This window comes from Homo sapiens, chromosome 18 (assembly GCF_000001405.40).
Source record: "Homo sapiens chromosome 18, GRCh38.p14 Primary Assembly".
In the NCBI taxonomy this organism is placed as follows: Eukaryota; Metazoa; Chordata; class Mammalia; order Primates; family Hominidae; genus Homo; species Homo sapiens.
The window spans coordinates 69,748,396-69,770,654 of record NC_000018.10 but is presented as its reverse complement, the minus strand read 5'-3'; the positions used below and the strand labels follow the sequence as shown (position 1 = coordinate 69,770,654).

Sequence of the window (22,259 nt, the reverse complement as noted above, 5' to 3'; positions counted from 1 at the left end):
TACGGTGTGCTTTAAATTGTTCCACAAAAAGAGCAAGGCTGTTATACGAGATTTTTAAAAGCAGTGACCAAACTGTATACAAGTCATCTTTGGACACCACGGACTTTACACAAATTGCTTAGATGGCTTCCATCTGGGTTGTCTCATTTAAAGCACATTTGAGAAGAGCTGTTGCTTGCTTTTCAGAAGAATCATTCTTGTAAACCTTGATTATAGTTCAAAGAGAATGTCCTTGGGCAGAAGGGTAGAGATTATACATGTTTTCTTTCTCTCTGCTTAAACTCTGTTGCCTCAAGGTAGTTATGTAACTTTCCTATCCAAGTGACAATCTAGCTAGCAAATCAAGACTGCCTGCGTTGATAATCCCACTCTGTGTCCTTTGGCAAGTTATTTTATCTTTGTGTGCCACGGTTTTCTTATTTGTAAAATGGGGACAATAATAGCCCCTACCTTGGAGAGTTGTTGGGAAGATTAAATATCATGAAACTGTCAAGTGCTGAGTAAATATCAGCCAAGCTGAAAATGACACCACCTCTCTCCATTTATAAAAACGCCACTCCTAACGATCTACCCTTTCAGGGGTTTTTGTGGTTTACATGAAATTATATTTGTGATAACACCTAGCATAATATCTTGTTCATAGAAGGTTGCTCAATAAAATACCCTTCTTCTTCCTACAAAAATTTTCAAACATGTTACACCTCCTCTCTTGCTATTCAGACCATGCAATCTGTTTGAAATCTGGTAAGTGGTTCACTCCCACCCACTTACCGATTGGAAAAGTTAAATGAACATTGAATGGCTGTTAAATTCTGAACTGGGGTGAGATCTCTGGCTTCCTGACTCTTAGTGTCTCACTGCTTTCAGAAGGATGAATTCAGTGCTGAGATCCAGGAAATAAGTAGTAGATTAGGAAATTAATTATTGGGATTTTTAATTTTATATACAGCAGTTTATTAGACATGCCTCTAAAGAAGCTGGGACATTAATGTAGAGATATCCTCAAACAGTAAAACTGATTATGCTCTATAATTTGCTTTTTATGTTGTTGTTTTTGCACAAAATGTGGGTTTTTGGTAAATGTAAGAACAATGCTAAATTATACTATCAGAAGTTTGGACAATTTTTAAAATATTTTAAAAAGAAATTTATAAATGGTAAATCAATCTCAAAGAAAAGTTTCAACTCATCATATTAGAGTTACAGATACAAGCACAGGATGTTTCTTAGACAACATCTTTTTTGAGCACATACAGAATCCTAAACTGGAAATGATAGAGCCACAGACAATGGCTATTCTTCAAATATACACTAGAGAGGAAACTTTCCATGTTTATCTGGAAGAATGAACTTTCCTGATGAATAAAAAACTAAGTGCAGCTTTTGTCTTAGAGTTGTAATTGTCAGTAAGAAATTTTGTACTAAAATAATTTTACATATATGTAAAAGACATTGATAATGTTTATCATTAATCATATATATAAATGACATACTATGTCACTGAGAGTTTCATATCAAACTCCTCTTTCTAATATTATGAATAGTAAAACAAAAAATAACACAAAAGTTTTAAACTTCTTACCAAACCAACATAATATAGCAATGGCAACCAAAAATTTCTAAGAGCACTCCCAAACTACATTCTTCTTCCTGAATTAAATACAGGCATTCAACACACACACACACACACACACACACACGCACACCCTTCAAATCTTAGCATAAATTCCTCTTATATAAACATATAACCATGCTCCTGAGTTTCAAAATATTGGGTGGTTCGAAGTTCGAAGCAACAAATTTCCAGTTAGTGTCTATTAATTGTTGGACAGCTGGCAGGTGCTAGAACTTTCAAAGAGGTTCTTCACACCTGCCCACCACTGTGCTAGATGTGAAGGACATATCCAGGCTTAAATCAACATCAACTCTGCAGTTTATTCTCTGGCAAGTGTAATTTTAAGGATGTTAATTTCCTGATGTTTCTCATCTTTTATTATCTTTCAATCATTATCAAGTCTCTGCCGTATTCTGCTTGGCCCGCAGAGGAAAATAAAGGAAAACTTGTTCAAAATACATGTATTGAACCTATAATTAGGGATGGGGAACATTTAGTTGAAGGGCCAGAGACAGAGATGAGATTAAGAAAAATCAAACAAGAAATAGAGACCAAGGAGAAAAAAGGTAATTGAACATTTTTCCCTCTAGGTTCTTCTTTGTAGTTTACAATTTGTGAAGCTTAGCCTAATACATACATGTTTGAGGGAAGTATATGAGAAGCCATATATGGTGAACCAGATGCTCCTCTCTTTCTCTGTGTATATATGTGTTTGTGTGTGTATATACATATACATGACAAAGACAGTTGAGCATCCATTTGTGTTAAAATCTGTCTGTATTAACATTTGTCTGTATTAATTAATCTGGTTGTATTGACATTTCCCTGAACTAATATTATGTACTGTTTATTCCCTTCTGAATAAAATCGAATATATATGTATAATTTATTTGACATGCCTTTAATATATATTCCCCACAAAATTTGATTAATAGAGAACTCAGTATGTTACTTCTTTTATTTAAAAAATTCAGTAGGGGAAGCTTGATGGAGAAAAATATAGAGACTGAACAGAGATTTTAATTTCCACCAAATTTGAATTAAAGAGAGTGAAGCAATTCATTTTAATAAAACCATTGGTGGATTATACTAATCCAGTGTAACATCTGGAAACTCTTCATCTTTTATCTTTTAGTAATTACTTGTACATATCTGGTAAAAAGTGATTAAATGGCTGATTTGGTATATTTTGCACTGTGAGTCCTCTTCGGATTTTAATTTGGGTGATGCAGAAGAATTCAATTAGTAATGTAAATCTTGTTGCTCGCCTCTAGTCCAGCCAGTAGAATGCACTGTGAGAGAGAATCAGTGTAGTATTAACTGGCTCGAGAAAGCTAGTCCACATTAGGAAAGAGGCTGGGGCCTCATGGAGGAAGAAAGGTCTCTGAAAGGCTTCTGGGCAGTTAGGGTAAGCTAATTAGTAAGAACTGATTTGGGGTGGGAGGGTAAGTGGTAGGGTGGGTGTGGATGAGTATGTTTGGGTGGGGGCATTCTCCTCTGCACTGGGCTGAGCTAAACACAGTCCTTCCATGAGTTCTGCAAACCTTGGGTTGGAAAAGAGGCTATAGTTTGCCTTAGGCTACCTGGACTGAGCAATATAAGGCATGGGAGAGGTGGTTTATCTGTTTAAGGTGCCATGTCTTGTTTATACTCACTGATGAGAAGAAAAAACTTAAATGAAGACTTCAGACTGAATTTTTTTTCCTTGTATTAAAAACTTAGAGTGAGAGTTAAGCTTAGATTTAGTTTTTCTAAAACCTTAAAAACTAGAAACCATTTATTAAAGCTAGATTTTTTTTTTCTTTTGAGATAGACTTTCTCACTCTGTCGCCCAGGCTGGAGTGCAGTGGTGCAATCTTGGCTCACTGCAACCTCCGCCTCCCGGGTTCAAACTATTCTTGTGCCTCAGCCTCCTGAGTAGCTGGAATTACAGGTGTGAGCCACCATGCCTGGCTAATTTTTTTTTGGTATTTTTAGTAGAGACAGGGTTTTGCCATGTTGGCCAGGCTGGTCTCGAACTCTAGGCCTCAAGTGATCTGCCTGCCTCAGCCTCCCAAAGTGTGGGAATTACAGGAGTGAGCCACCACACCTGGCCTAAAGCCAGATTTTCATAGTCCTTAGAACCAAACAAATTTCCCCAAGCACAGTAAGAACTCTGTAATAATATTTCCAAGTCAACACTGGAATAAATAGGAGTAGGACAGCCTATCTGCCTCTGCCAGAAAAAAGAAACGTCATAGTGAGAGTTTGGTTTACAGCAGACTCTTAAACAACACAGTATGGACCGCATGGGTTCATTTATGTGTGGATTTTCTTCCATCTCTGCCACTCCTGAGACAGCAAGACCAGCCTCTCCTCTTCCTCCTCCTCCTCAACCTACTCAATTTAATGATCTACCTCCACTTAATGAATACTAAATATATATTCTCCTCTTTATGATTTTCTTAATAACATTTTCTTTTCTCTAGCTTACTTCTTTATTGTAAGAATACAGTATATAATACGTGTAAACCCAAATATGCATTAATTGATTATTTATATTATTGGAAAGGTTTCTGGTCAACAGCAGACTACTAGTAGTTAAGTTTGGGGGTGTCAAAAGTTGTACATTGATTTTCTTTTTTAAATAAACAATTTCGACTTTTCTTTTAGATTCAGTGGGTACATGTGCAGGGTTGTTAGCTGGGTATACTGCATGATGCTGAGGTTATGGTTACGACTGATCCCATCACCCGGGTGGTGAGCATAGTACCCAATAGTTAGTTTTCAACCCTTGCCCTCCTCCTTCTTCAGTGTCTACTATGGCCATACTTATGTCCATGTGTAACCAATGTTTAGCTCCCACTTATGAGTGAGAATGTGCGGTATTTGGTTTTCTGTTCAATTTGCTTAGGCTAATAGCCTCCAGCTACATCCATGTTGCTACAAAGGACCTGATTTCATTCTTTTTTATGGCTGGGTAGTATTCCATGGTGTATATGTACCACAATTTCTTGATCCAATCCACTGTTGATGGGCGCCTAGGTTGATTTCATGTCTTTGCTATTGTATACACTGGTTTTAGCTGTGCAGGGGTGGGGTAGGCACCTCAACCCCCATGTTGTTCAAGGGTCAACTGTACTTTAATATATTAATAATAGTTAATAATTATTGAATATTGACATCTTATGTTGATGATCTCTTTTAATGAGATCATGGGAGATAATACTATCTTCTTTTAGATATCAAGCAATAAGCTTAGAAAGGTTGAGTAAATTGCCCAAAAATCACATCAGTCAGTAGTGGTAAAGTTAATATTCAAACTCCGGTATATTTGACTCCAGAACTCAAGATTTTAACCTCTAGGGGTAACATCTTCAAGATAATTGAGCCCCAAAATTTGTTTGATAAAATCTTTCACAAAATTACTGCCTCATAATCCAGTGGAATAAGCAGGTTTGTAAATAAACACATTCATTTAATAAAGTTAAACACAAATGTCTATGGGAGCACGGAAAAGCAGGTGATTAATTAAGACTGCAGGATGTGAGGATCATTTCACAGTGGGAATGTTTTGTGCATTTTTATGATGTCTGCTTTAGGGAATAACCAATTCATTTATCTCTAAAAATTGACATCCAGGGATACATTTCCTGCCTTTGACATACCTTTCTTAAGGTATGGGCATACAATAAATGTTTATAAATAAGGTTTAATAGACAGAAGTGTTGCTTCTAGAAAGTGGCTCATGTTTTAATGGCTGTTGCCAAATGGCTATCAGGCTTCATTTTACTTCTGTTGCAAATTTCTATATTTTTTAAAATTGGCTATCAGAGGCTTTTATTAGCTTTGAACTTGAAAAACAAAATAGAAAATCTCAATAGAAGCAATTTATATACAATGCAGTTTGGACAGTAGAGAAGGACAGAAGGTCATTGCTGAGCAAAGAGGAAACAAAGTCTTTGATTTACCTCCTTAATCTATGGCAGAACTCTATTTACCATTTTCTGAAGGTTATCTCTAATTCTAATTGCCTATTTCCATCCTGTCCTTCTGAGAAAATGAAGCCACAGACACCCTTTCCGTGAGCGTCAAATGCCTTCTGGTGATTAGGTATGTGTCCGTGCTGACATTGGTGGTCTGTAGCTTAATTACAGATATACAGAGGCAAAGCTGGCCTGTGGATATTAATCAGTGTTACTGAAAGCAGAACTCCTAAAGCTACGACCTTTACAAATGGTATATACAATCATTCTTGATTCAAAGAGTGTAGTTGTTCAAGCTGTTTAAAAAAAAGGAGTCAAAGTATATTCCACGTTATTTTGTGTGAAAATAAGGGATTATCATATGTATTAGTCTGTTCTCAAGCTGCTATTATGAAACACCTGAAACTGAGTAATTTATAAAGAAAAGAGGTTTAATTGGCTCACAGTTCTGCATGGCTGGGAAGGCCTCAGGAAACTTACAATCCCGGCGGAAGGGGAAGCAAACACATCCTTCTTCACGTGGTGGCAGGAGAGAGAATTGGAGCATGAAGGGGAAAAAGCTCCTTATGAAACCATCAGATCTCATGAGAACTCACTCACTATCACAAGGAGAGCATGGAGGAACTGCCCCCGTTACCTAATGACCGCCCATGAGGTCCCTCCCCCAACATGTGGGGATTACAATTCAGATTACAATTCAAGATGAGATTTGGGTGGGGACACAGAGCCAGACCATATCATCATACATCAGAGAAAGTTTAGTCATCACGTGCAGTCCCATAAACCTGCTCATTGGGCACTGTGTTCAGCTCATATTCTTGGCCCTCGTTCTCACCATTAGTTTATAAAAGAAGAACGTGAACTAACCGGAGAGAAGGCAGCAGGTGTAGAGAGACGGATTTTGAGCCATCATGTTAAAGGGGCAGATCTAGCATTTCACAGTCCTTCCTGTGTTCATGAAAATAAAGACTAGTAGTAGCAAGTATCTGTGCTCAGTCAAAATGATCCTAAAGCAAAAAGCAGAAATGCCAACAAACACCTCACCTTGCGCAAGAGCATGGGGCTCACATGTGGGACTAGACATGATTCCTTGATATAGAAGAGAATTTTTCTCAGGTCCACCCTCATGGAGGAGGATGTGGTCCTGATGTCACATATCTCCATGTATGCTTTATAATGCATTGCTAATTCACTTTAGAATTCAATAGGCTTTACTGAGTGCCTGCAGTACACCTGGTACCGTCAATGGCTTTTACTGGTTTGATTTGTCATTTTCAATAAATGCTTTTGTCATCTTCACAAATCCTGACTTAAAAACCCTGCTGTATAGCCTGTCATCTAAATATGTCTAATGGTGATTAAAAGTCAAGGTGAGAGCCCTAAAGTAAGAAAAACTCAGTAATCTGATTTCCTTGTTTTTTGTTTTCTTTTTCTTTCTTTTTACCCTTTCCTGTGCTCCCCTCCTCAACTTCTCTGTATTTCTTTCTTTCTCTTTTTTAAATGATTGTTCCTCAGGGCTTTCAAAACATTACTACTACATTTCCCAACGCCTTGGAAATACAATTGTATGAATATTAAAACAAATAGTATGTATTCACTTCAGAGTTGCGAGTTTAAAATCATGTTCATCCCTTTACGGTTTAGGTTTCCCTCAGTCTAGAGACAACATCTCTAGTATGAGCGTGATATAAACATTTTTCATAAGCACAGAGGAAGTTAGAGAAGTATAAATAAGAAATTACTTTCAAATACAAATCAACTATCCTTATGATACTCTGGCAAAAAAGAAAAGTAATGTCTGTTTGCCACTTCTGCAAGAAGAGGTGGCATAACTCAACCTGCTACAAACCACTTACGGACAGAGATTTTTAAACAGTGGCTGCCAAGTACTTCGTACAACATGTGCTTGTTAGAAGCTAATTATTCCCTTTTTCACTCTTTTGATTCCAGACTACTAGAATACAATGGGGAAATCACATTAACTTATTCTTTGAGAGCACCCTTCTGGGCGTAGCATGGAAAGATGAGGCAGATTGTATTGGAGATTCTTATTCTCCAATTGAGGAGGGGAGCACAGGAAAGGGTAAAAAGAAAGAAAAAGAAAACAAAAAACAAGGAAATCAGATTACTGACTTTTTCTTACTTTAAGGCTCTCACCTTGACTTTTAATCACCATTAGACATTCTCCAAAGATGAAGGTAGATGCAGGATCTCTGTCCTGCTATGTCAATCTTTACGTGTGTATCTAGCAATGGATGAGAGAAATGAATACAGCAAAACTGAGCTAAGTCAAAGCTTTGAGGCTGACAGACAACTGAAGTTATAGGTGTCTTACTATAGAATGAATTTGTTACCACGCCATGCATTTAAAAAACTTTGAGTACATGTGCTGCTTATTAATGAATCTTAATCTCTTAAACTTTAAATATATGAAAGTTTTCTGCTTTTGTTTTCTGAATGTAGTCTGCTAAATTTAATTCATATTGATCTCAGCTTCACCTAAAAAATATTTGAAAATTCTAAAGATATATTTGTATTCCTCAGTGCTACCTGCAGTTTACTTGACAATGATATATTCCCACATTGCCAGACTTTTACTTTGATTTGGCAAAATCAGTGATGACAGTTGGCTGACGATATTCTCCTTTTTGTAAAGAAGAGGTAATGCCACTTCAAGGAGCACAGCTGAAAAAGCGAGATTCAAAATAACTAGACTTTAAAAAAATATTTTTTTAAGACAGGGTCTTACTGTTTAGCCCAGGCTACAGTGCAGTGGTGTGATCATGGCTCACTGCAGCCTCAACTTCCCAGGCTCAGTGACCCTCCCATCTCAACCTCCAGAGTAGCTAGGACTACAGGCGTGTGCCATCATACCCTGCAATATGTATGTATGTATGTATGTATGTATGTATGTATGTATGTATGCATGCAGAGATGGAGTCTCACTATATTGCCCAGACTGGTCTTAACTCCTGGGCTCAAGCAATCCTTCTGCCAAGTTGCCGGCTTGGCCCTCTTCCAAGTTGAACTTTCCTTCTTTTCTTTTCTTCCTTTCCTTACTGTTCTAAAGCTTTTTAATACATGCTCACTTCTGCTTTGCAACTTGCCTAGGTCTCTCCTTCTGCCTTATGCCCCTCAGTAGAATTCTTTCTTCTGAAGAGACAAGGACTGAGGTTGCTGTGGACCCATATGGATTCGCTGCCGGTAACTTGCGTAACTCGGATATCTGCCACTGCTAACATATTTGGTCCACATGACTCAGATACCTTCCTAGTGGCCATTGAGCTCCAGACAATCCTCAGTGAGGAAAACCATCCTCTCAATATTCAAGAGTCACCCTTCTAGAGAGGACCTCTGCACTTCCCATCAGTGGGACAAGACAGTGGTGAAATCCTGCCCCTGTCTCCCTTGGACTTGGCTGGATACCACTTTCACCAACTGATGCAGCCAACTCAGCCCTGACGGGTAGCAAGGAGCCAAGATCCACCCGACCACGACCACCCCTCTGTCAGCAGGAAGCAGTTACAGAAAACAGAAGTCATCCATTTTGGATGACAGACCTTCATCCAAAGATTTGAGGTCCTGGACTCTTGAGGTGAGAAATGTTACAGCAGGTAGCTAGTCATGTATGAGCAGAGCAAGAGAGAGAAGCCCCACTCCCAACACACACCAGCAGTGTTGGGCAACAATCAGCTGATGGTCAGGCGGTTGTTAACTGTTTTGGTAAAGTAATAATTGGTCGCAGCCGGCCCCAGGGAAAGGCAGCCTCTTAATAGATAGAAAACACCTGAAACTGATCAGCAGCTTCCCAGTAAGATTTCAGGAGTAGTAATAATTGGTCGCAGCCGGCCCCAGGGAAAGGCAGGCTCTTAATAGATAGAAAACACCTGAAACTGATCAGCAGCTTCCCAGTAAGATTTCAGGAGTAGTAATAATTGGTCACAACCGGCCCCCGGGAAAGGCAGGCTCCTACTAGACAGAAAACACCTGAAACTGATCAGCAGCTTCCCAATAAGATTTCAGGAGTAGTAATAATTGGTCACAGCCAGCCCCCGGGAAAGGCAGGCTCCTACTAGATAGAAAACACCTGAAACTGATCAGCAGCTTCCCAGTAAGATTTCAGGAGTAGTAATAATTGGTCACAACCGGCCCCCGGGAAAGGCAGGCTCCTACTAGACAGAAAACACCTGAAACTGATCAGCAGCTTCCCAATAAGATTTCAGGAGTAGTAATAATTGGTCACAGCCAGCCCCCGGGAAAGGCAGGCTCCTACTAGATAGAAAACACCTGAAACTGATCAGCAGCTTCCCAATAAGATTTCAGGAGTAGTAATAATTGGTCACAACCGGCCCCCGGGAAAGGCAGGCTCCTACTAGATAGAAAACACCTGAAACTGATCAGCAGCTTCCCAATAAGATTTCAGGAGTAGGGAGAAGTAATACAAGATCCCGGAAGTAAGCCAACCCGAAGTATAAAACCCGAATTCAAGAGGTCAAGCTGCGCACTTGGTTTCTCAGGGCGCCTGCTTTGCTTTCTCCCAAGGTGAACTTTCCTTCTCTTGGTTTCTCAAGGCGCCTGCTTTGCTCTCTCCCAAGGTGAACTTTCCTTCTTTTCTTTCCCTTGCTGTTCTAAAGCTTTTTAATAAACTCTCGCTTCTGCTCTGGGGGAAAAAAAAATCAAACTCTCAAAGTGCTGGGATTACAGGGATGAGCCACCGCACTCAGTGGATAACTAGGCTTCTAAATGTAGTTTTGTGAAAAACGTACGTGTTCGTGGAAGGGTGCTGAGGTTCTGAATTTCTCTTTTTATTTCTTCCTTATTTTCAATAGTTTTATTCTACCCTGATTCCATTAGGGACTAGCACCTAGTAAAAAAACTACTGAGGCTCCTTGCTCTCTACTTGTTTTGACTATCACAACCGAACGAAGGAAGAATAAAATACGTGACCATTATCAAAGTATAACTAACAACTTTATCTATTTATTCATCTCTATATTATATGCCTGCCTACTATCAACCATCTATCCCCTTATCTGGATACTTAAATTTTTATATCTATAACACTGAGGGGTATACAGGGTGGTAAAACGTATTGCTCTAAGAAGCACACAGTACAAAAAGTAAACCCACAGTATAGTGAAACGTAACTTCCGTTGAATACATTTTATAAATATTTGACTTAAGTAATTACCTTAGTCAATACATATTTTTCACTCTGTAATCATCACCAACCAACCAGAGAAACATGAAATACTGAGATTAAGTAAATTGTAATTGAAAAGGCATGTCAAGCCTTTAACTTTGCTGCAAGTTAACATCAGTGAGAGTATTTCAATCAGTTATTATATCTATACAACATATAAATCAACATCTTCCTTCAAGAAGTCTCTGGCAATGTTTTAGGATATTCCAGTGCATTTTAATTTTTATCAGATGCAAAGCCATTGCAGAAATTGTGTATCAGTCTAAATCTTAGCTCTGTCTTCAGAAAACGTTTCCTTCATACTACCATGAAAACAAGAGTTTTTATTTTCTGGAATTATAGGCCAAACCCTTGACAAAAACTAGAGTTATTATACTACTTCTGACCTATTCCCACGTTTTTTGTATTAAGAGCACTAATATCTCACTTTTATTGCTTAGAAATCTGATAGTTTTTTTCATTTAAACATTTTATAGTTTGTTTTCAAGTGAATATCAATATTTAAACATATGTTTAAATAAAAATCTTATATTACAAGCATACTTTCAAATTATTTTTCATCCCAGAAATAGGCAAGGTTAATTTTGCATGATCATGACTCAGGCAATTTGAGTGTGTGGCTGCTGGCATTTGAACAGGGAAATAAAAGCATAAGATACTCGTCTTCTCTTTCCGATTCTTGAAATTGCCAAACCAGTCTCCACTCCTCACTTTTCTTAACCCTCTAATCCTTATTCTGTTAAATATTTTATCATACAAATAACAAAGATAATAACTCTTAAATACAGGCAGTCAGGTTGGCCATAAGAGAGTCCCTTTACAATATAAAATGTAATTGCCTTCAGTAATTGACTAAAACCATTCCAACTGCTTTGCCTTGTAGAACATATCTTTAACCATTAATTTCCATGATCGAACTCCATTAGTCTAGTTTGGAAACCCTGGCAAGCAAATATTGCTATAAAAAACACATTACTTCAGTTTGCTTGCAACGGAAATATTTCTTTTTGTCAAAACTTACAGCATTGTTAATAGTGAGCAAAAGCTAATGTGTGAAAGAAAAACACAGTCTGAATGTCTAACTACCAGAGGGTCATACTTGGTCATACTTTCCCCAGATATTTTATTGGATGCTTATTACATTCAAGCCTATGGTGCTCAATAAATGTTTGTTGGATGAGTAAATGCTCTTGGCTGTGTGTGTTTCAGCCTTATTTTCTTAGTTTCTAGTTTCTTGCTTCCTCCAGTGTTGGCTAGCTGTTAGTCAGTTGCTTGTAGCCAATCAAATATTTTATTTGAAGGGTAAGATTATTCAGTTTAAAACAAAAGGGAAGGAACAGGAAGACAACTGCTGAAGCTGGGTTGTTTGCTGCTGTTAGTAAAAAAAAAAAATCTGCTAGCTATTAATTTGATTCATCTGGCAAGCTATTCCTATGCTAGCTAATTGACCGTTTATCATTAGAAAAAGTACAAAGGCAAAGTATCTACATGTGGCCCCTTCTACCCTGCACCCTTTCCGAATGGTTTCTGTATTAAGGCTTTGACTAAACTTTAAGACTTTCATGGGTAGGTTTATATACCAGTTTATGGCAGAGCCTTAAAGCCTGAAGTCAGCCTCCTGAACTGATATTGAATCCTTTCAAGGAAAAAAAGATGCGAAAAAAGAAATCCTTCATAAAACAACAGCATGAAGCAGATCTCAGCATTAGCTTTTAGCTTCTGATAATGTGCTTGGTATAATGTTTTAGTCAAGTTCTCGTGCCAAATGGGGTCCTTAGCCCTCACAGTAATTTTTGAAATATTTTTTACCATGAGTATATGAAATGATAGCTTTTAAAAAGCCACTGTAAATCTCAGAGCTCCCACTGTGGCCAGTGACAGCTGATAAATGGGAATGGGAGGAAAAGCAAGCAATGCAAATACAAAGCAATTTGCATGACTCAGTCCACCTGGAGGAAGCTTATGGAGGCACTGCTTTCTTACATTAAAGTGACTTGCCTTGCAAACTGTAGATTTCACCAACGCTGTTCTGACGAGTGATGTGATGCCAGTACGCGCTGCGAGGAAGAGATATTGATTTGGATAATGTCATTGGTTCAGTCAAGCTTGTCTGAAGCTAAAAGAGAAAAGAATGTGTTTTAGGCCTCGTTTTAAAATATTAAACTGAAATCTGCTCTTCTAAATATTCAGGGTTAAATGTGAGTGACAGATAGAATCTGCTATAGATACCTGCATGATCCCCGGTGTAAGGATAACTTTTAAAGTAAAATCATTACTCAAAAATATGAAAGGAATACTTGTAAACAATTTTACTCATTAATTAAGAAGAGAACATTAAGATGGTACGAATGATTCCAATGACTTGTAGCAATGGGGAATGCTGGCAAACACTCAGGGCATGATCAATTGTACTCACTCCACCTGACAAAGTTATTTACATTTCTATGGACAAGAATTATTTGCATTACTCTCAGCTTTCCACAATTTACAGAGTTGTAAAATAACTAAAAAAGTAAAGGTGCCAGCTGCTTCAGAAGCAGAGACCCATGAAAGGTTTACAGAATACCCGTTATTATTTTTTTTTACCCATTTCAATCGCTAAACATTTTTCCTTACACTTCCTCCCAACCTTACACAATGGATATTTTCTCAAATAGACCTTTTTCCTTGCCCCTGTTATAGAATCTTGTACATATTAAAAAAGGTATTCTCTGAGAAACACTGTGATAAAACTGTGGCATGTTTGTTTATTCGAAACATACATTTTAAGGATTGCTGAGAAGATTCACACAATATCACGTGCTCCGGCACATGATTAGTTCAAAGAAAATAATAGTTTACATTGGACTTCCAAGAAATAGCTTTATTTTTATTAATGCAGAAATAATTTCAAGAAGCATGCAGAAATGGTTTTATTTAGTCTCGGCACACATGTCTCTGACCCAACCTGAGGAAATGTTTACTTTTTGACAGACAATGAGCAATCCTCTAATGAATAAAATCTCACATTTTCTCTTTATGTAATGCCTGACTCCTGGCAAAACTGAGTTGCAAAGATCATCTCTGTCAAATCTAGGCTTTGCGTGCCTTTCTGCTACTGTGGTGTGTACCTCCCACGGTGCACCTGCACACCCCGTGCCTGGTCCTCGATGCTTGGATGGGTCACATACTTCTGCATCCAGCATTGGATTTGACTCTTACCACCCTTCATAGAAGATGCTATCAGGAAAGTACCTGATATGACACACCAGGTCGTTCAAGGCCACATAAAACTAAGAGGTTCTTACATTTTAATAGAAAGTGGAATTATAGAGCTTGAACTTACTTATTTCATTTTACTTTCTTAGTAGTAAGGCATTTCTCGAGCTGCTACGTCTTGTCACAGAAGTGCCATACTCAGTCTATTTAAAAGTCTGGGACTGTTGAGGTATCTTTCTTTTTTTAAAGATGGCTCCCAATGGTAACTTTGCAGCCATTCTTTGTTTTTCAAAATTTGGTAGACTTCAAAGTTTTCCTGCTTATTACATAAACAGGTGAACTATCCACATCCACATCCTGTGGTTGGTGTTTACAGGGGTGGGGTTCTAAGGAGACAAGTTTCTGGGTTATCATAGAGTAGTGCTTTCAGAATCTTTGGGTGGTTTGGTAACAATAATAACGGCAGGAGACGGTGAAATGGCTAGGCAGATAAGGAAGGCTCCCCGGGGAACCTCTGACCCACCCAGGTCATTGCTCATATGGGACTTGTCTAAACAAGCCCACGTAAAAAATATTCTGTCCCTTAACACATGCGTAGTAAAGGAAATGAATTGGGGTGGCTCAGACCAAGGGCCCACATGTGCACTGGAAAAAATGGGGCGGAGCCACCAGGAAATCACACCTGATGCAGGGGAGGAGCCTGGCCCCTTCAGGTCCTGTGTGGTGGCCTTGTGTTCAATCTGTGAGGTGGGAGCTGGCTGGTGGGGGACCCCTCTCTTTGCTGAGAGCTCCCCTTTTGCTTAATAAATTCTGCTTTCCTCACCCTTCAATGTGTTCACATGCCTAATTTTTCCTGGTTGTGAGACAAGAACCTGGATTTAGCTGAACTAAGGAGCAAAAAAATCCTGCATCAACAATGGAGGTCTCCAGTTTTACCCCGGACCTAACAGTGGGGGACTCTGCAGGTAGAGCTATGCACGTTAAAAACGTGCATTACACCCTCATATGGATGGAAGTCCATCATCCACCACCATAAAGAACTAGAGGCCAGGCTCATTTTATGAAAGGATTATTAGGAGAAAAGATAGGACTTTCGTCTTTAAAGCCAATTTCCCATATGAGGCATAAACTTAATTAAACACATAAATCTTCAATTCATGTCAGCAATGCCCATTAATAACAACAATCCATAGATTCAGTCTCATATTAATCACCGTTCTGCCTACTGTCTACTCTTTATTCCTTTTTCTAATGTATTATAATTTGTTTATTACTCAGCATACAGTAGATCATTGATGGTAAATTAATCTTTCCAAAATGTGATGAAAGTGCTTTTTCTTCTCTTTTTTTTATTCTGGGAGACATTTTTCTTCCCAAATGTGGTCAGTTTTAAGCATCAGGGAAATAGAGTAAGCATTTTTTGTTTGCTGGAAATATAATTGGAAGCCACTGGATAATAACTCTTCCACATGATTTGCTTCTGAATCACCCTGTATTGTTTTACGCCTCATGTTTCTCTACTCTTCCCTCTTCATTGTTTTCGTGTTCTAGGATGCTTTTAATGATATTCTATTTCTTTAGGTTTCTCCTTATTCTACTTCCATAATTTATTGCTGAAAAATGGAAAATTTGTATTTAAAAAATTGATCATGGATTTTCTTGGGATCTTTGCCAGGGATACAAATCTAGTCCCCCATTTCTCAGATGTCTAAATGTTCCCCTGGACTTTTAAAATAGAGTCCATTCCCCATGTGTACCTATGTATTGAGTACTGCTGTAGACTGAACTGTGTTCCCCCACAAATTCATATGTTAAAACACTATCCCCCAAATGACTATATTTGAAGACAAGGCTTTTAAAGAGCTTAATGAAGGTTAAGGGAAGATATAAGTGTGGGGACCCTAATCAAATAGGACTTGTGCCCTTAGATGAAGAGGAAGAGACACAGGGATAAATATTCACAGAGAAAAGGCTATTAAGGACACAGCAAGGAAGTGCCCATCTAAAAGTCAAGAAGAGAGGCCTCAGGAGAAACCAACCCTGCAGGTATATTGGTTTTTGCACTTCCAGCCTCCAGAACTGAGAAAATAAATTTCTGTTGTTTAACCCATCCAGTTTGTGGTATTTTGTTATAGCAGGCTGAGCAAACTAATATGAGTACTCTCATGGGGAATCTAAGAAATGCAGAATCTGATTTAACCAGCAATTCTTAATTTTGTTATGAACTTTAAGCAATGTATTAGAAATTGACCTGTTTGATCTGTGCAGTGACTAAGACAGTATTTCAAGCACTCTTGATAACTTCTTTTTTTTTTTTTTTTTGGAGATAGGGTCTCACTCTGTTGCCCAGGCTGGAGTGTGGTGCAATCTTCGCTCACTGCAATCTCCGCCTCCCAAGCTCAAGCAATTCTGCCACCTCAGCCTCCCGAGTAGCCTGGATTACAGGTGTAAAACTTTTTTTGATGACAGGCTTCAACAAAGAGGACACACATCCTTAACTATTTAATTAAAACTCATCCTTAACTATTTTCATATTATAATGCTTCAATTAAAAGCATTAAGAAAAAACAAAACTTAAAATGCTATAGTAATGCCTTCATTGAAAAAGCAATGCATCAATTTGACCAGGAGGATTTTTAGGACCATAAAAGTATGTATATCAACAAAATATATAAGGCAACTTATATTGCAAATAAATATTTATATAAAAAATTATGTTATGAGATTATTTCTAAACAATGTATTTTAAGAAATTAAACAAGATGGATACATGTGTTTGAAGTTCTTTCATTCCTTCTCTGCAAGGGTCTGCTGTATTGATTCTTTCAGTGGACTTAGTAAAAAAAAAAGTCTCAAACAGCGATACAAAATTCTGCAATCTTTGTGCCAGAATTCCCTTGTTATTTATAAGACTATTTCCTGTAGGCGATGCTTCTCCTTTTTGCATAGGGTCAGGATTTAGAAACGATGCTCTGGCATACATACAGAAATCAACTAGATTAGGAGGCATTGATTCAGTTCTTGATATACTTGCCATCACTTTTTGTCATTTTTGGTTCTAACTCTCTCTTCCTTCTATTCTTTTGAAACAGCAGTCAGTTTTCTAGGATATGAGCAATGAATCAGGAGTTAGTTAGCATCTAGAAAGAGTAGAGATCACAGCTCAAATAAGCCTGGAGAGTAGTTAAAACATTTGTGTTTTATTTGAGAGGGACAACCGACACATCTCATCACAAAGCCAACAGTCTAAGAAAATAATTTAGCCCCTAAGTGCTGTATGGAGACTGCACTGATACCTTTGTTTGAATATAACACAAATGAGAGTTATGCTGTCCTCAAGTTGATGAGAATAGACCCTTCTCCCCAACCAGAAAAGAGGTTTAGATTTAGAGGGCTCTTGTAAAGATAGAAACAAGGGTGGGTTCCTTGTGTTTTTCCCATTTAGGCAATATATAAATACACTTATCTTTTATTTGTAAATATTTGAGATTCGTAGATGATATCAAAGAGATTCCAATCCTCATCTCTCTTTCCTCCCCTAAACTTCAGAAGATTCTTTTGAACACATTTCATTGAAAAGGTCATTTTTAGGAAACAATGAGTCCTGTGTCACTCTGGCTTTGCACTTTTGTTACTATCTTTTCAAGTATGTTTGTACAGCAAACAGCCTCCAGGCAGAGGGCAGATTTGTTTCCTGACCAGGACAGTACAGATCCTATTTTCCTCCAAGGCAAAGGCTGGGCAGGGTTGCTAGCAGCCCCCTGATAAGATGGGGAGTTGCTAACTCAGATCCCTTGGCTGTGGTAATATGCAGCACCATCCACCCTGGCTGCTCCACATGACCCCGTGGGACCAGGGGACCAGGGAAACCTATGGAAGCATGAAACTCATGATGCTCGCTGTGCCTCAGGAATCAAGTCCTCTGTCTCTGACTCAGGAGTTTTTTGTGTTTTCTGCCAACATCCATGAAACTAATAGGCAAGGGAAGCAGGGCTGGTAGCATCTTTCCTGCTTTTGCTAATCTTTGATTGTCTCTACTCTTCCTATCTCTTGAATCTAAATTACTGTATTAAAGTTCCTTCATTGAACTCTCTATCACAGGCTCCATTTACTTAAGTGGACCCTGAATAATACAAAGGACTACCTTGCTATGCCCCAAATGTATTCACTATATCCATACTGAAAGGCATTAACTTATTTCTGCTCTTTTGGAACTAAAAACTAAAAAATCTCAAAACTAAAAAATTTTGAGAAAAATTTTAAACATTTAGGTTAGTTATGCCATCTAGGGACTTTAGCTGATGTATGTATAAGTAGAATTATGACCGTTGTTCCCCTAAAAAGTCATCAATTCTCCTAAGGTTATTTGGTGTTCACATTTTAATACAAAACCATCAAATTCTTGTAGGATTTTTTAAAAAAATACATTTTTATAAGTCCTTTCATATGTTGAATTTATATATTTGGGTTTTACTTTGGATAATGTTTCTATATTTTTATATTTATCTTTTAGAGAGACTTGTGTTTTCATTTATGTAAATAACTCATATTTTTCAGTTCTTATATTTTGTGCTTGTGCTAATTAATTTCCACCTGCTGTTTTTCTTAGGTTATCTTCTTGATCTATTTTTTTTACCTTCTCAAGTTAAGTATTAATTAAAATTGTATTTGTTTAATAAAAGCATTTGCTTCTGAATGAAGTAGAATAGAAGGTATTCTCTCCTAAAATTATATAATTGTAAATTGTAGCTTTATTTCCTTTTTTACATAAAGTATTGCTTGTGTATATTTTCTTAAGGTAATGATTTTTTGTGCACTTTTTTTTTCCTTTTTGTAGAGACGAGATCTCATTATGTTGCCCAGGCTGCTCTGGAACCCTGGCCTCAAGTAATTCTCCCACCTCAGTCTCCCAAAGCACTGCCATTAGAGGTGTGAGCCACTGCACCCGGCCATTTGTGCAAATTTTATTATTTTTTATTTAATGTTTTGTAGTAGAGAACATGCACTGAGTAGTTTCCGTACATTAAAATTTATTTTTCATTTTTAACTAATATGGCCAATTTCTGTACATCTTGTAAGTACTTGAAAAGATGCACACACTGATGTAGAATCTCTCTACACACACTCAAATATACACATAATAAACACTATTCACTCTGCATTTCCTGCTCTATATATATTTGTTCAATTTTTAATCCACTGTATCAAGATATGAAAGTGTTAATTTCAAATGACTGATTAGCATGTTTCTGTCCATTTCCTCTTGTATCTTTTAAGTACTTTTTAACTGTACTATAAATTGACAATTTATAATTATATATATTTGTGGGGCACATATTATAATTTATGAATACAAGTGAAATAAATCAATCTAATTAACATAACCATTAATTCAAATACTTATCTTTTTTGTGATAAGAACCTTTGAAATTTACTTGGTAATTTTGAAATGTACAATACAGCATTACTAACTATATTTGCCACAATAGAACACTCAAAATCAAAATAAAACATACTCTTCCTGCCTGAGACTTTTACCCTTTGACCGTCATCTCCCTGTTGCCCCCGAGCCCCTAGCCTTTGTAGCCACATTTCTACTTTCTACTTTTATGAGTTGATTGATTTAGATTCCATTTATAAGTGAGAATACATGGTATTTGTCTTTTTGTGTCTGGTTTATTTAACTTAGCATAATGTTCTCCAATTCCATCTATGTTGCTGCAAATGTCAGTTTTCTTTTTTTTTAAGGCTATGTTGCTGCAAATGAGTTTTTCTTTTTAAGGCTCAATACTATTCCACTGCGTATGTGTTCCACATTTTTAATCCATTCATTTGTTGATAAACACTTATGCTGATTCCATAAACTTACTATTGTGAAACATGCTGCAGTGAATATAAGAGAATTGAATCTCTTTGACACTGATTCAAATCATTTGGGTACATACCTAGACGTAGAATTGCTGGCCTATGGGGTAGTTTTATTTTTAAATGTTTGAGGAACCTTCATGCTGTTTTCCCCAATGGTTGTACTAATTTGCATTCCCAGCAACAGTGTTCAGTGTCCTGGTCCCCTTTTCTCCATGTCGTCACCAGCACTTGTTACCTTTCATCTTTTTATAATAGCCATTCTGATGCGTATGAGAAGATATCTCATTGTGGTTTTATTTGCATTTCCCTAATGAATAGCAATGTACAGCATTTTTTATGAACCTTTGTAGCCATTTTTATGTCTTTTGAAAAATGTCTGCTCATGTTCCTTGCCCATTTTTCAAGTACTATTTTATACATGAAAGTGGTATTTTATTTAATTCACAAAGCTTTCTGACTGTTCTATGGTTCTATAACTTACATTTCCCCTCCTTAGCTATTTTATTAAACTCTCCTTTAAAAGTTCTGCCCAGGCCTAATGTTCAACCTCACCTCCATCTTCTAGCCCCTACCCTTCCAAATGAATAAGAATCTCTTCTGTGTTCTCCTAGGAAGTCTGGGCTTTCCTTTCAAGAAACAGTGTTGTTCATCATCCATTAATATCTTTGTTTCATCTGCACTTGTTCTAGTAGAAATTATTGAGCATTTTTAACACATACATGTTTTTATATATATTATATATATATAATATATATATATATAAAATGCCTTTTCCTTATTTTCAGCCAAATTCAAGTATTCTACACTTTTATATCCCTTTAGTCATTTTACCCGGTATTTGACCCAGAACTTTTTTTTTTTTTTTGATGGAGTCTCGCTCTGTCGCCAGGCAGGAGTGCAGTGGCGCAGTCTTGGTGGCTCACTGCAACCTTCGCCTCCCAGGTTCAAGCAATTCTCCTGCCTCAGCCTCCCAAGTAGCTGCACTACAGGTGCGCACCATCACGCCCAGCTAATTTTTTTTGTATTTTTAGAAGAGACAGGGTTTCACCATGTTGGCCAGGATGGTCTCGATCTCTTGACCTCATGATCTACCTGCCTCGGCCTCCTAGAGTGCTGGGATTACAGGCGTGAGCCACTGCACCCGGCCAACTCATTGATTTTTATCTACTTAAATCCTCATAAAATTCCTGTAAGATAGGAAAGGGATGAAGTATCCCTCTTTAAAATGAGAGGATGCTGAAGCTTTGATTGATTAATATCAATCGACATTCCTAAGAACATATATCCTGTGGAAGCAAAACTGGAATCATGATTCTGCTCTATGCTTTTGTCCTTTTTTTTCATCATCAAGAGATTCTGTATAATGTTTCCTCATAATCTTACATCATAAATAGTAATAAATATTGCATTATTTTGTGAAAGATTGAAGATGGCTGCAAATTCGTTTAAAAGCTGGCACTCAGAAACTGCCTATGTTCCTTCATTTTTTTAAATGTTCATTTTTAAGTTCTGGGGTACAGGTGCAGGATGTGCAGGATTGTTATATAGGTAAACTGTGTGCCATGGTGGTTTGCTGCAGCTATCAACCCATCACCTAGATATTAAGCCTAGCTATTTTTCCTAATGGTCTCCCTCTCCCCACCCCAACCCCCAACAGGCCCCAGTGTGTGTTGTCCCCATCCCTGTGTCCATGTGTTCTCATTGTTCAGTTCCCACTCGCAAGTGAGGACATGTGGTATTTGGTTTTCTGTTCCTGCATTAGTTTGCTGGGGATAATGGCTTTCCAGCTCATCCATGTCCATGAAAAGGACATAATCTTGTTCCCTTTTATGGCTGCATAGTATTTCATGGTATGTATATACCACATTTTCCTTATCCAGTCTATCATTGGTGGGCATTTGGGTTGATTCCATGTATTTGCTATTGTGAACAGTGCTTCAGTGAACATATGCATGCCTGTATCTTTGTAATAGAATGATTTCTATTCCTTTGGGGATACATCCAGTAATAGGATGACTGGTGAAATGATATTTCTGGTTCTAGATCTTTGAGGAATTGCCACACCATGTTCCACAATGGTTGAACTAATTTACATCCCACCAACAGTGTAAAAATGTTCCTATTACTCCACAACCTTGCCAGCATCTGTTGTTTGATTTCTGCCTTAATTTCATTATTTACCCAGAAATCATTCGGGAGCAGGTTGTTCAATTTCCATGTAGTTGTGTGGTTTTGAGTGAGTTTCTTAATCTTGAGTTCTAATTTGATTGCACTGTGGTCTGAGAGACTGTTATGATTTCAGTTCTTTTGCATCTGCTGAGGAGTGATTTACTTCCAATTATGGGATAAATTTTAGAGTAAGTGCCATGGTGCCAAGAAGAATGCATATTTTGTTGTTTTGGGGGTGGGT

General features: G+C 37.7%; 1 protein-coding gene across 3 annotated transcripts in view; it reads right to left on the bottom strand.

The window, feature by feature from the left end:
* Positions 1-22,259, bottom strand: part of DOK6 (docking protein 6) — a 448,200-nt gene that overhangs the window by 78,433 nt on the left and 347,508 nt on the right. For all 3 annotated transcript variants that reach the window (NM_152721.6, XM_017025610.2, XM_017025611.2), the window contains one exon: positions 12,782-12,899. In NM_152721.6, the coding sequence (NP_689934.2) occupies positions 12,782-12,899 (118 nt within the window). The remainder of the gene's footprint in view (positions 1-12,781; positions 12,900-22,259) is intronic.